General features: G+C 41.5%; 1 protein-coding gene and 1 pseudogene across 34 annotated transcripts in view, besides 2 other annotated features; one reads left to right on the top strand and one right to left on the bottom strand.

Annotated features, from left to right (window-relative positions):
* Positions 1-13,405, bottom strand: part of MARK3 (microtubule affinity regulating kinase 3) — a 118,417-nt gene that overhangs the window by 83,508 nt on the left and 21,504 nt on the right. The window contains exon 1 of one of the 34 annotated variants that reach the window (XM_047431389.1): positions 6,524-6,560. The exons of 32 other annotated variants lie outside the window; for them this stretch is intronic. In XM_047431389.1, coding sequence (XP_047287345.1) covers positions 6,524-6,526 — 3 coding nt within the window. In that variant the 5' untranslated portion in view covers positions 6,527-6,560. Of the gene's footprint in view, positions 1-6,523; positions 6,561-13,405 lie in introns of those variants that run through there. One more of the 34 variants, XM_011536769.4, reaches the window with a different exon arrangement.
* Positions 1,663-1,732: an enhancer, noted in NCBI's record as "active region_9104". NCBI's record gives its function as "activates an Ori minimal core promoter by ATAC-STARR-seq in GM12878 lymphoblastoid cells {active_cell/tissue: GM12878}" and the evidence as "EXISTENCE:reporter gene assay evidence [ECO:0000049][PMID:35858748]".
* Positions 1,743-1,852: an enhancer, noted in NCBI's record as "active region_9103". NCBI's record gives its function as "activates an Ori minimal core promoter by ATAC-STARR-seq in GM12878 lymphoblastoid cells {active_cell/tissue: GM12878}" and the evidence as "EXISTENCE:reporter gene assay evidence [ECO:0000049][PMID:35858748]".
* RPL10AP1 (ribosomal protein L10a pseudogene 1) lies at positions 7,532-8,237 on the top strand (annotated as a pseudogene).

Genomic DNA, 13,405 nt, shown 5'->3' with positions numbered 1-13,405 from the left:
CAGGAGGTAGAGAGCTGCAGTGAGCCAAGATTGCACCACTGCACTCCAGGCTGGGCGACAGAGCAAGACTCTGTCTCAAAAAGAAAAAAAAATGTTCAAAACTGTGGAATTCCGTGATTTTTTATATATAGGGATTAGGCTTATATGGAGCTTTTTTCCTGCACATTAACCATACCTCCAGGTTGTACTAAAAGCATGCTGACTGTTTTTATGCTTTTTAGTTATATAACATATGTATTCTATATCTTATATGGAATATATAAATTATATCTTACACCAAGGCTTTCTTTCACCCTTGTCTGCTTGTTTCCAAAAGTTTCTGTTTCTTTTTCTTAAGAGACAGGATCTCGCTATGTTCCCCAGGCAGTGGCTATTCACAGAAGCAATCTTGATCCCAATCCCCATCCCACTGATCAGCAGAGGAATTTTGACCTGCTCCGTTTCTGGGCCAGTTCACCCCTCCCCTCAGACAACCTGGTAGACCCCTGCTCTTGGGATATAATTAATTTTTAATTGAAGCAAATCATTCTGGGTTTTAACTTTTTTTGTCAGTCACTACAGTTGTTTTGAATAAAAATTCATCACTGTCTACCCACCCCCAAGAAACCACTTGCTGAGTTTTGGTATAATGTCAAAGAACAATATCCACAATCACCTGAAAAGGTATTAATATGCTCCCTTCCTTTTGTAGCTACATTTCTTTATACACTTCAACCAAAACAACATACTTAAATAGTGTGAATGCAGAGCAGACACAGGAACCCAGCTAACTTCTATTAAGCCAGATATTAAAGGGGTTTGCAAAGAATTTAAACAATTCACTCTTTTCAATAATTTGCTTTGGAAAATAGTTGTTTTTCATAAAAATATGTTATTTACATTACCATGTAACAGGATTATTATTTTTGATGAATTAATATATATTTTAAGTTTCCTAAGTAATAACTTCCAATTCAGCAGCTATCAATACATATAACCCTAATAAATAAAAGCTTTGGGGAGTTCTCAATTTTCTATTTATTTATTTATTTATGAGACGGGGTCTCGCTCTGTCACCCAGGCTGGAGTACAGTGGTACAATCTCGGCTCACTGCAAGCTCCACCTCCCGGGTTCACGCCATTCTCCCACCTCAGCCTCCTGGTAGCTGGGACTACAGGCGCCCGCCACCACGCCCAGCTAATTTTGTTTTCGTATTTTTAGTAGAGACGGGGTTTCACCATGTTAGCCAGGATGGTCTCGATCTCCTGACCTCGTGATCCGCCCGCCTCAGCCTCCCAAAGTGCTGGGATTACAGGCGTGAGCCACCGCGCCCAGCCTCAATTTTCAATTTAAAGGAGTTCTGAGACAGAAACGTTTGAGAACTGCTGTTCTCATCAATGGCATTGTACACAACCACTGAAATGAACAATTATGACGATTAGTGGCAACGTAGAAAACTGCTTTGGATAAAATTCCGAGGGCGGAAAAAACAAGATACAAAATTATAATCAAAAATATGTTGAAAAAACATGTATATGGAAAATATACAAAAACAAAAATGGTATTCAGAATATTAGGATTGTGGGGTTTTTCTTCTCTATTCTCCAAACTTTCTGTAAAGTTGTTAACATAGTCTTCACCAACAAACTCGTGACTAAACATAAGCATTTATGCAAAGTCTCAGGAAGTTTCACACACCCCAGGATGAAGAAACGTGGTTTCAGGAGTGAAGCAACAGATGAAAAGGCAGGCGGGGGAGGACTAAGTGACTGAGGGGTGGGATCATCAGTTCCTCCCAGGCAGAAGAGAAGATTCTTATCTAGAGAAACTGGATACTCTCAGAAATCTAAGGACACAAATATCTGGGGTCTTCAATAAAAGCACCAGACAACTCCCAATAGGAAAGCTCTGTGGTCAAACATGTCCTATTCATACAAACACAGCTTGTGATCAGATGCTTAGGGCTCCACATTAGGTACAGACAACCAGAGGCTACCAGACATCCAGAGAAAGTCTCTATATGAAAGAGCGGTAACAAGAAAGAACCCCAGAAAAAAAGAGAAGCAATGCAGGGAACAAAAATCTACTTTATAAAAGAGCTAAAAAAAAAAAAAAAAAAAAAAAGCCTTTACTATTCTCAGGGAGTCAGCAGAAGAAACAACATTCATAATACCAGGGCTAGATGCTGTAAAGACAGTAACAACAAACAGATGAAAATGATCAAAGAGTGAGCTGGGGAGAGAAGAGGAGACACACACACAGCTTTCTTTCTTTTGAGACAGAGTTTTGCTCTGTCACCCAGGCTGGAGTGCAGTGGCGCGATCTCGGCTCACTGCAACCTCTGCCTCCCGGGTTCAAGAGATTTTCCTGCCTCAGCCTCCTGAGTAGCTGGGATTACAGGTGCGCGCCACCACGCCCAGCTAATTTTTTTGGATTTTTAGTAGAGGCAGGGTTTCACCATGTTGACCAGGCTGGTCTCAAACTCCTGACCTCAAGTGACACTTCTGCCTTAGCCTCCCCAAGTGCTGAGATTACAGGCATGAGTCACCGTGCCCGGCCCACACACACATTTTTAACAGAAAGAATGGAAGATGAAGTTAAAAATATCTCCCAGAAAGTAAAAACATAGAGATAGAAGATAGATTTTGAGGCTCTTTTCAAGCACTCCAGTCTCTGCTTAAGGATTCCAGAATGAAGATTTTTAAGTTAAAAAAGAGACAATTTTCCAGAACTGAAAGACAAAAACCTCTATATTAAAAGGGTCCAATGAGCACCAAGAACAATGAATGAAGACTAACCCTTGGCACCTCAATGGCTAATTTCTAAAAACCAAGGATAAACTTCCAGAAAGAAAAAAAATATTACATACTTAAGCTACTTACATGGTTATACTCCAGTCTTTGACATTCCCAATATCTGAAAACCTTTCATGATCCAAGTTTGAGCTTCCCATTCTTTAACTAACTTCTTCTACCTTCCTGCTCACTCAATCTAGTACTCTAATAACTGTTGGAACTTACCAGGATCTGTAATTCACTGACCCCACACCTTCATAGGGTCAGTCTTCCTCCTCAAGTTCTTAGTTCCTAATTATATCACTAATTTCATTGTGATGTTGTTGTATAACAATGCTCCTGGGGTGTTGTATAACAATGCTCCTTTGTCCTTTCACTATACTAATGTGACAAAACCCCAATCTCTGCAAATGCCATGCCTGCAGCTGGGCAACTGAATGTGGCTGGAGAGTAGCACAACGCCATGCTGACTCTTCCCACTTTAAATCCTTGGTCACCAACCTCAGGGAAGCCTTAAGGCTGCCTGGCAATTCTATTACATTTCTCTAGTCCATTCACTCTCCTGCTTATCTGGCAATTATTTTAACCTCCTCACATCTCTAATACATCTCCTCATCGTAGCAGATCAGTTTGCTTTCCATTTTACTGAAAAAACAGTTTGCACTCAGAAAATTTCTACAAGCTCCTACTACCATAAGGATCCCCTCACCTGCACTGATGCCGGCACCCTCTGCTTTCCTCCTATTTCTTTACTTTATTTTCTTTCTTTATTTTTTGAGACAGAGTTTTGCTCTTGTTGCCCAGGCTGGACTGCAGTGGTGCGATCTCGGCTCACCACAACCTCTGCCTCCTGGGTTCAAGCAATTCGCCTGCCTCAGCTTCCTGAGTAGCTGGGATTACAGGGGCACGCCACCATGCCCAGATAATTTTTTGTATTTTTAGTAGAGATGAGGTTTCACCATGTTGGCCAGGCTGGTCTCGAACTCCTGATATCAGGTGATCCACTCGCTTCGGCCTCCCGAAGTGCAGGGATTACAGGCGTGATCCACCACGCCTGGCTTGCTTTCCTCCTATTTCTATGGAAGAACTGTCCATGTTATCCAAAGACCAATGCCTCCACCATCCCCTCACCTATTCCAAAATCTCTTCGACAGCACCAATTTCCTCCTTTTTATGAGATTATCCCCATTAGTAGAGAAATATGTTGATATTTTGTCCATCTTCTAAAAAATACCTTGGCCTAATGTCTCCCTGTAGCTACCATCCCACTTATCTGTGCCTAGAAAGAGCTACCTTGCTGTCTCTAATTTATACTCACCGATTCTCTCTTGAGCTAATACATTATATTATATGTGTGAGTACTGCAAAATATTTGAAAGATAAGCTAGAACATTTTGGCCAATTAGCAGTAACACATAAAACCTAAGAGTTTATAGAAAAAGAAACAACTATTAATTTTAGACAAAGCTTTACAATTATATAAGAAAATAAATGATCATAGCCAAAGCTCAACAATACTTACACAGTCGTAATTTAAGTAAATAAGCCAAATATATCACTGCAATAGAAAAGCTAGGGAAAGAAATGTAGATATGGAAGTGGGAAGTGGAAGTCAATGATGTTTAAAATGATAAATTTGGAGAAAGCTATTGGAGTAACAGAAGAAAGAGCTTAAAAAAGTTGGGGCCTTTGAGTAATAATGCTGAGGAAAAAGAGGGATAAGAAAAGAAACTTCTGATTGTCATTAGAACTTTTTAGTATATTTGACTTGTTAAGCTATGTGCATGCATTACTTTAGGAAAATAATTTTTAAACAATAAATAACTCCAATAAAGTACAAATGACTGAAACAAGTGAGTTCTGTAGTTCGTGTGAGGGGAAAGGTCTCTGGGAGGCTATGAAAATTAGTGGGGGGAAAATAATGAACTTGAAAGAAAACTGTGGTGTAAAACAGGCAATATTTCACACCAAAATAACCATAAGCTATGAAAAGTTGGTCAAAAGCAAGACAGCAGATGCAACTAACATCCCCAGATTCATAGTAAATATGGGATAGATGCTTCCAGGACAATATGGATAATGGGTAGCATTTTCATTTAAGAGCTAAATCAGATGAATTTCACAACTGGTACATGTATTTTAAAAATATATAAAATGAGCATTTTGATATCCATTTCTGATTGGTTCATGGTCATCCTGTGGGAAGTCTCATCTAAACTGAACTTACACCATAACTAGGCTATTTAAAGGCTTGATTTAAAATGGTCTTCAGAGTGTACATATTAATGTATCTTGTTTATAATTCTTATTCCAACATGTTTGTTAAATTAAAACAACTTTCTTCCAACGAACATATAGTTTTTCATGAGTATCTTTTTTTTTTTTTTTTTTTTTTTTTGAGACAAGGTCTTACTCTGTTGCCAGGCTGGAGTGTACTGGCATGATCTTGGCTCACTGCAACCTCCGCCTCCCGGGTTCAAGTGATTCTCCTGCCTCAGCCTCCCGAGTAGCTGGGACTACAGGCGCACACCACCATCCCCGGCTATTTTTTGTATTTTTAGTAGAGATGGGATTTTGCCATGTTGGCCAGGCTGGTCCCAAACTCCTGACCTCAGGTCTCGATCTCTTGACCTTGTGATCTGCCCACCTTGGCCTCCTAAAGTGCTGGAATTACAGGCATGAGCCACCATGCCCGGCCTTCGTGAGTATCTTTTATGTTCACGACATCCTTGTGACTTAAATGCATGATATAGATTGTCCCTACTCCCTTCTTTCAGAAAATTCTTTTCACGATATAATTCTACATCTCTGTTCTTACCCCAAGGATAGCAGTTAAAACTCTCAACATAATACACAATAAGCCTTTAACTTATACTGACTCAGAACAAATTAAGTCCCCAAATCATCAATGCCACTCTTCCCACAACCCTCTGGGTTTTCTTCAGAGGTTTTAGTTCTTCAATAGGCAAGATACATCACGTTCCCATCACAGGGCAAGAGAACGCTGACAAAAATAAAGATCTTAGCTGAGAAAAGTACTAAGTAGCTGGGTGTGGTGGCTCATGCCTGTAATCCCAGCACCTGGGGAGGCCAAGGCGGGCGGATCATCTGAGGTCGGGAGTTCAAGACCAGCCTGACCAACATGGAGAAACTCTGTCTTTACTAAAAATACAAAATTAGCTGGGCATGGTGGCACATGCCTGTAATCCCAGCTACTAGGGAGGCTGAGGCAGGGGAATCGCTTGAACCTGGGAGGTGGAGGTTGCGGTGAGCTGAGATTGAGCCATTGCACTCCAGCCTGGGCAACAAGAGCAAAAGTCCATCTTTAAAAAAAAAAAAAAAGAAAGAAAAGAAAAGTACTAAGTAATAAAAATACACCAATTCACAGACCAGACCAGAGGCTTTAGGTTTCTTTCTACTAGGAATATTATACTGTTATATAAAATCAGTTTTCTAGTTAACAATTCACTTAATTCTTTACCACACGATCCAGTAATGTCACTCCTAGAGAAATTAAAACTTATGTTCACAGAAAAACCTGTACAGGAGTTCTATTCATAATTGCCAAACACTGGAAACTATTCAAATGTCCTTCAGTGGGGGAGCTAATACCAACTGTAGCACAGCCATACAACAGAATACTTCTCAGCAACAAAAAGGAACAAACTGTCAATATATGCAACAGCCTGAATCAATCTCAAAGACATGATGCTGAGTGAGAAGAAGCCAGTTTCAAAAGGTTACATACCATATGATCCCATTTTATTTGACATTCTCAAAAAAAGACAACTGACCAGGCGTGGTGGCTCACGCCTGTAATCTCAGCACTTTGGGAGGCCGAGGCAGGCGGACTGCTTAAGCTCAGGAGTTCAAGACCAGCCTGGGCAATATGGTGAAACTCCATCTCTACCAAAAATAAAATAAAATAAAATAAATAAATAAAATAAAATAAAATAAAATAAGCCAGGTGCGGTACTGTGTGCTTGTGGTCCCAGCTACTGGGGAGGCTGAAGTGGGAGGTTGCTTGAGTCCAAAAGGTGGAGCTTGCAGTGAGCCGAGATCGCGCTGCACTCCAGCCTGGGCGACAGAGCCAGACTCTGTCTCAAAAAAAAAAAAAAAGCATGCTATTAAAAAACAATATAAACTTAATTTTCGACATTCCAAATGAGAGATCAAAAGTTTCCCAAATGCAAGAAGTTATATGATTATTGCCTTCTTGAGGAAAAAAAAGTTCCATTTACATTAGCAACAAAAATTATAAAATAGCTTGAAATGAATTTAACAAGCATTATATAAAACATAGATGAAAAAAGTTACAAAACCTGAAAACAAATTTGAGACACATGCACATTCCTGAATAGAAACATTTGGCATTAGCCGGATGTGGTGGCTTACACTGGTAATCCCAGCACTTTGGGAGGCCGAGGCGGGTGGATCACCTGAGGTTGGGAGTTTGAGACCAGTCTGACCAACATGGAGAAACCCGTCTCTACTAAAAATACAAAAATTAGCCGGGCATGGTGGTGCATGCCTGTAATCCCAGCTACTCGGGAGGCTGAGGTGGGAGAATTGCTTGAACCCAGGAGGCGGAGGTTGTGGTGAGCTGAGATCACGCCACTGCACTCTAGCCTGGGCAACAAGAGCGAAATTCCGTCTCAAAAAAAAAAAAGAAAGAAAAAAAAGAAAGAAAGACTTGGCATCATTAAAATATCAATTTCCTCCCAAACTATTAATAATTTATAAAACCAACTAAACCCTCTTTTCTGGTTAGCGTGGCATGAGAACCCATAAGCAGCAAAGTCTCTCACGACACCCTGGATGAGGCGGTGCAGGAAGTCCTGCACGGGAACCAGTGAAAGTGCCCCAAGTTCCTGAAGATGGTGGAGTTGCAGATCAGCTTGAAGAACTATGACCCCCAGAAGGACAAGCGCTTCTCGGGCACCGTCAGGCTTAAGTCCACTCCCTGTCCCAAGTGTGGGTCCTGGGGGAACAGCAGCACTGTGACGAGACCAAGGCCACGGATATCCCCCCAAGTGGACACTGAGGTGCCAAAAAAACTCAAGAATAAGAATCTGGTCAAGAAGCTGGCCAAGAAGTATGATGCATTTTTGGCTTCAGAGTCTCTGATAAAGCAAATCCCACGAATCCTCGGCATAGGCCTAACAAAGGCAGTAAAGTTCCCTTCCCTGCTCACACACGATGAAAACACGGTGGCCAAAGTGGATGAGGCGAAGTCCACAATCAAGTTTCATATGAACATGTTATGTTTGGCTGTGGCTGTTGGCCACGTGAAGATGACAGACGATGAGCTTGTGCATAACATTCACCTGGCTGTTAACTTCTTGGTGTCACTGCTCGAGAAAAAACTGGCAGAATGTCCGGGCCTTATATATCAAGAGCACCACGGGCAAGCCCCAGCGCCTATATTAAGGCATATTTGAAAAGATTCTACTGCTACTAGTAAAAAAAACAAAAAACAAAAAACCAACTAATCCCATGAAAACTAATCTAATCAAAATTTCATGCTCTGTTTTTAGAAAATGGCAACTTAATTCTAAAATTCATGTGGAAGAGTAAATGACCAAAAAAAAAAAAAAGCTATGAAAATTTTGAAAAATAAGAGTCATTGGCCGGGCGTGGTGGCTCACACCTGTAATCCCAGCACTTTAGGAGGCTGAGGTGGGCAGTTCATGGGTTCAAGAGATCGAGACCATCCTGGCCAACATGATGAAATCCCCTCTCTACTAAAAATACAAAAATTAGCTGGGCGTGGTGGCACACACCTGTAATCCCACTTACTCAGGAGGCTGAGGCAGGCGAATTGCTTAAACCCGGGAGGTGGAGGTTGCAGTTAGCCGAGATCCCGCCACTGCACTCCAGCCTAGCGACAGAGCGAGACTCCATCTCACCAAAAAAAGAGAGAGAGAAAAAAAAAAGAATCATCAGGAGGGGAACTTGACCTAAAACATACAATCCACAGCTGCAGTAATAAAAACACCACAGTATGGGTATAGGACTAAATAAACAGACTGGAGAAATAACAGGACACATATGAGAATTTATTATGTGTTAACGCAGGTATCTTCAATTGTTGGGAGAGAACTGATGGTTCTGGGACAATTGTAATCCAAGTGGAAAAAAAAAGTCAGATCCCTACACCTAATACTAATCTTCCCAAATACATACCACATGAATTAAACGTTAAAATGTGAGCCATAGGAGGAGTATTAGAAGAAAATACAAAACTGGTTTTTTGTTTGTTTGTTTGTTTTTTCGAGACGGAGTCTCACTCTGTCACCCAGGCTGCAGTGCAGTGATGCAGTCTCAGCTCACTGCAAGCTCCGTCTCCCGGGTTCATGCCATTCTCCCGCCTTAGCCTCCTGAACAGCTGGGGCTACAGGCGCCCGCCACCATGCCCAGCTAATTTTTTGTATTTTTAGTAGAGACAGGGTTTCACCGTGTTATCCAGGATGGTCTCGATCTCCTGACCTCGTGATCCACCCACCTCGGCCTCCCAAAGTGCTGGGATTACAGGCGTGAGCCACTGCACCCGGCCTATAGAACTGTTTTTTAAGTCACGGGACAAATCTTCAAGAAGACATGAAACCCAAATGTAATAAAGAAAAAGATTAAATGATTTTGCCACATAAATACTTAAAAACTTCCCTAAAACAAGAAAGACATCATAAACAGTTAAAAGGAGTAATCTAGGGAAAGATATTCATAACCTACATTAACAGACACATCAGACAGATGACTGAAACATAAAGGGTTTAAATCACTAAGATTAAAAAAAAAGAAAAATGAATAAAGGATATAAACAGGAAACTTGTTTTATTTTTATTTATTTTAGAGAGTGTCCTCTGTTGCCCCGGCTGGAGTACAGCGGTACAATCATAGCACAATGCAGTCTTGTACTCCTGGGCTCAAGTGATCCTCCTTGCCTTGGCCTCCCAAAGCACTATGAATACAGGCATGAGCTACTGCGGGTGGCCAGGGAACTTGCCTCAAAAAGAAATTATGAATGACAAAAATATATAAAAAGATCATAAATCTAAGTAGTGAAAAGGGAAAAAGCAACTTCTGGTTTTCTCTACACCCTTTTTTTGTCCATACGTGCTATGGTTTGAATGAATGTCCCCTCCCAAACTCATGGTGAAACGTAATTGCTGTTGCAGCAGTACTAAGGCATGGGGCCCTGGAGAGGCAATCAGATTGCAAGGGCTCTGCCCTCTTTTCTTCCTTTCTCCTCCTCTTCCCTTCCTTCCCCACTCTTTGCCCTTCCATCACGCCCTTCATGTATCAAGAAGGCCCTGGCCAGATGCAGCCCCTGGATCTTGGACTTCCCAGCCTCCACAATTGTAAGAAATAAATTTCTTATCTTTATAAATTACCTAGTCCCTGGTATTGTGTTACAGCAGCAAAAACAGATTGAGACCTTCAGATAGACAAAAATTATCTACAGTGTAGAAGCATGTACGAAAATGAACACTCTATTCCATTTTGGTAGAATAATAAAGTAGGTACATCACTTTTTATTCAAAACCAATTTAGTAGTATCTATTACAATGTCAAATAGTCATCCACTTTCACCCAGGACTTCCATTTCTAGGAATTATCCTACAGAAACACTTAACAAGGACACGCAATGCTAAAGAATGTCCACTGCAGATCTGTTTGTAACAACAAAAATTTAGAAACAACCCTAATGCCCACTGATAGGAAATAAACTATGGTACCACCATAGCCAGGAAGACTATGCTGCCTTTAGACTAATATGTCAGATCTATGAGTACTAAGACCCAGACATGGTCAAGGTACATTACTAAGTAAAAAAACTGTCATCATGTTCCATGAGTCCCTTTCTGTTAAAATTTTTTAAAAGTTAATGTCTATATAAAAAACTCTGGGAATATACACCAAACTGCTGAAAGTGATTGTCTTTGAAGAGACAAATTTCAAGGAACTTACTTTCTACATAATGAATTTCTATATTTCTATAATGTTTACATTTTATATGTCATATCTACAATAGGCAAAAAAAACCCCACAAGAGTAAAATGATTTTGTTCAAAGTTTTTCCTTTTTTTTTTTTTTTTTTTTTTTTTTTTTTACTTTAAGTTCTGGGATACATGTGCAGAACGTGCAGGTTAAACAGGTATACATGTGCCATGGTGGTTTGCTGCGCCCATCGACCCATCAGCTACATTAGGTGTTTCTCCTAATGCTATCCCTCCCCTTGCCCCTCACCCCGACAGGCCCTGGTGTGTGATGTTCCCCTCCCTGTGTCCATGTGTTCTCATTGTTCAACTCCACTTACGAGTGAGAACTTGTTCAAAGTTTTAAAAAAACTGAGAAACTGAGAAAGTTTTTAAATTAAACCACTCTGCTAGTCATATTCAAGCATTTCTAGAGAAAGAACCTACTAGAAGTAAACACCACAGGCCAGACTCTAGATAATGTAAATCAGGTAAGGTAAATGGAAGAGGTTCGTCTGTCTCAACGCTCTCTTGGCCCACCATCTCTGCCCACATGAGGAAGCTGGCAAGTAGCCACCTGGAACTGGTGGGAACTAAGAAACTCAGAGGTCTCACCGTTCCTTATCTCAAGAAAGCTTTAATCAAGGACAACAAGGACAGCTCCGCCCACACAAGCTGTTTACAGATTCCAAAAGCAGTCTATAAGGCAGCTCAGCAACAAGGAGTCTTAACTAAAAATCCACAAGAATTTTATCACTAAAATTAATGAATTGTCAAAAGGCAAATTTCTGGCAACAGTCTTTTAAAATTCCAGTTAGCACAGTCCAGTGCTTCCCAACCTTTTCCAAGTCTCCGCACACACAGGAAATGAAAATATTTACAGGGCACATTGCTGCAAACAGAGGATGCATGCTGACAGATGACAGACCCAGGGCTCATGCTCTTGCAGCCCCAGGCCTGGTGGGCTGCAGGCATGAATGCTACGCCATATGTGTCACAGTCTTGGCACATCTATCAGAAGGGTCTCGCACAGGGAGAGCATTTGTTTTAAAAGCTTCCTTCAAAAGTATTACTACATTCAGGCCAGGCATGGTGGCTCACGCCTGTAATCCCAGCACTCTGGGAGGCTGAGGTGGGTGGATCACCTGACATCAGGAGTTCGAGACCAGCCTGGCCAACATGGTGAAACCCCCTCTCTACTAAAAATACAAAAAATTCGCTGGGTGCGGTGGCGTGTGCCTGTAATCCCAGCTACTCGGGAGGCTAAGGCAGGAGAATCGCTTGAACCCAGGAGGCGGGAGGTTGCAGTGAGCTGAGATCACGCCACTGCACTCCAGCCTGGGCAACAGTGAGACTCTGTTGCCAACACCACCTCCCCCCCGCCAAAAAACAGTATTATTGCATTCATTTAGCAAATATTTATTAAGTACCTAACAGGTTCCAAGCACTGTGTTAAGTTCTGTCATCTTCCCCTACAGACTGGAGACAGCCTACAAACTAGAGAAGGAGACAGACAAACGAGCAATTCCAATACAATGTAAATTGTGCCATATAAGGGGAGTATCGGGATTTTTATGGAATCCCATGCCTGGGGAAAGGGGATTTGTCAATGATTACTTCTCAGAAATGTTCCCTAAACAGAAGAGTAAAGAGTATTTCAGGTACAGGGAAAAGCAGGCGCAAAGACCTAAATGCAAGAAACTACATCAAAGGTTGGGCACGCTGGCTTACACCTGCAATCCCAGCATTTTGGGAGGTTGAGGCGGGCAGATCACCAGGTCAAGAGATTGAGACCATCCTGGCCAACATGGTGAAACCCCATCTCTACTAAAAATACAAAAATTAGCCGGGCATGGTGGCGCACGCCTATAGTCCCAGCTACTCAGGAGGCTGAGGCAGGAGAATTGCTTGAACCCAGGAGGCGGAGGTTACAGGGAGCTGAGATCACACCACTGCACTCCAGCCTGGCGACAGAGCTAGACTCCGTCTCAAAAAAAAAAAAAAAAAAAAAAAAAGAGGCAAAACAGGCTCTGTACCATATGAGTATAACAAGAGGAGGGAGTTAGTTTTGTGGTTTTAATGCATGTATTTTTGATTAATAGGAACGGGGCTGAGCAGAAAGCCATTTCACAAAGGTTAGGAAAGTATGTGCCTTCCTACACAATAACCGATTAAACATACGCTATGAGAAAAGTAGAGAGATTAAGAAACTTCTTGAAGATAAATCTGTAAATATTGACAATAATATTGATTAGCAAGTAACATGAGCTCATACACATAAGTGTATACCTGAAGTTAAAGACAATTTTTACTGTGGTAGCAGACATTTGCTACTGAAAAAGAACAAAACATTACCTATTTTTAAAGGTAAAGACTATTTAAACACTCTATGATATTTCCAACGTTTAAAGTAATGGGAAAGCAAAAGAACTCCCAGATGGGCCAGGCGTGGTGGCTCACGCCTGTAATCCCAGCACTGTGGGAGGCTGAGGCAGGCGGATCACGAGATGAGATCGAGACCATCCTGGCTAACACAGTGAAACCCCGTCTCTACTAAAAATACAAAAAATTAGCCGGGTGCAGTGGTGGATGCCTGTAGTCCCAGCTACTCGGGAGGCTGAGGCAGGAGAATGGCGTGAACCCAGAAGGCG

The sequence above is a fragment of the Homo sapiens genome, chromosome 14 (assembly GCF_000001405.40).
Source record: "Homo sapiens chromosome 14, GRCh38.p14 Primary Assembly".
NCBI classification, from domain to species: domain Eukaryota; kingdom Metazoa; phylum Chordata; class Mammalia; order Primates; family Hominidae; genus Homo; species Homo sapiens.
Note: the sequence above shows the minus strand (reverse complement) of the source record. Positions and strands in the feature narration are given on the sequence as shown.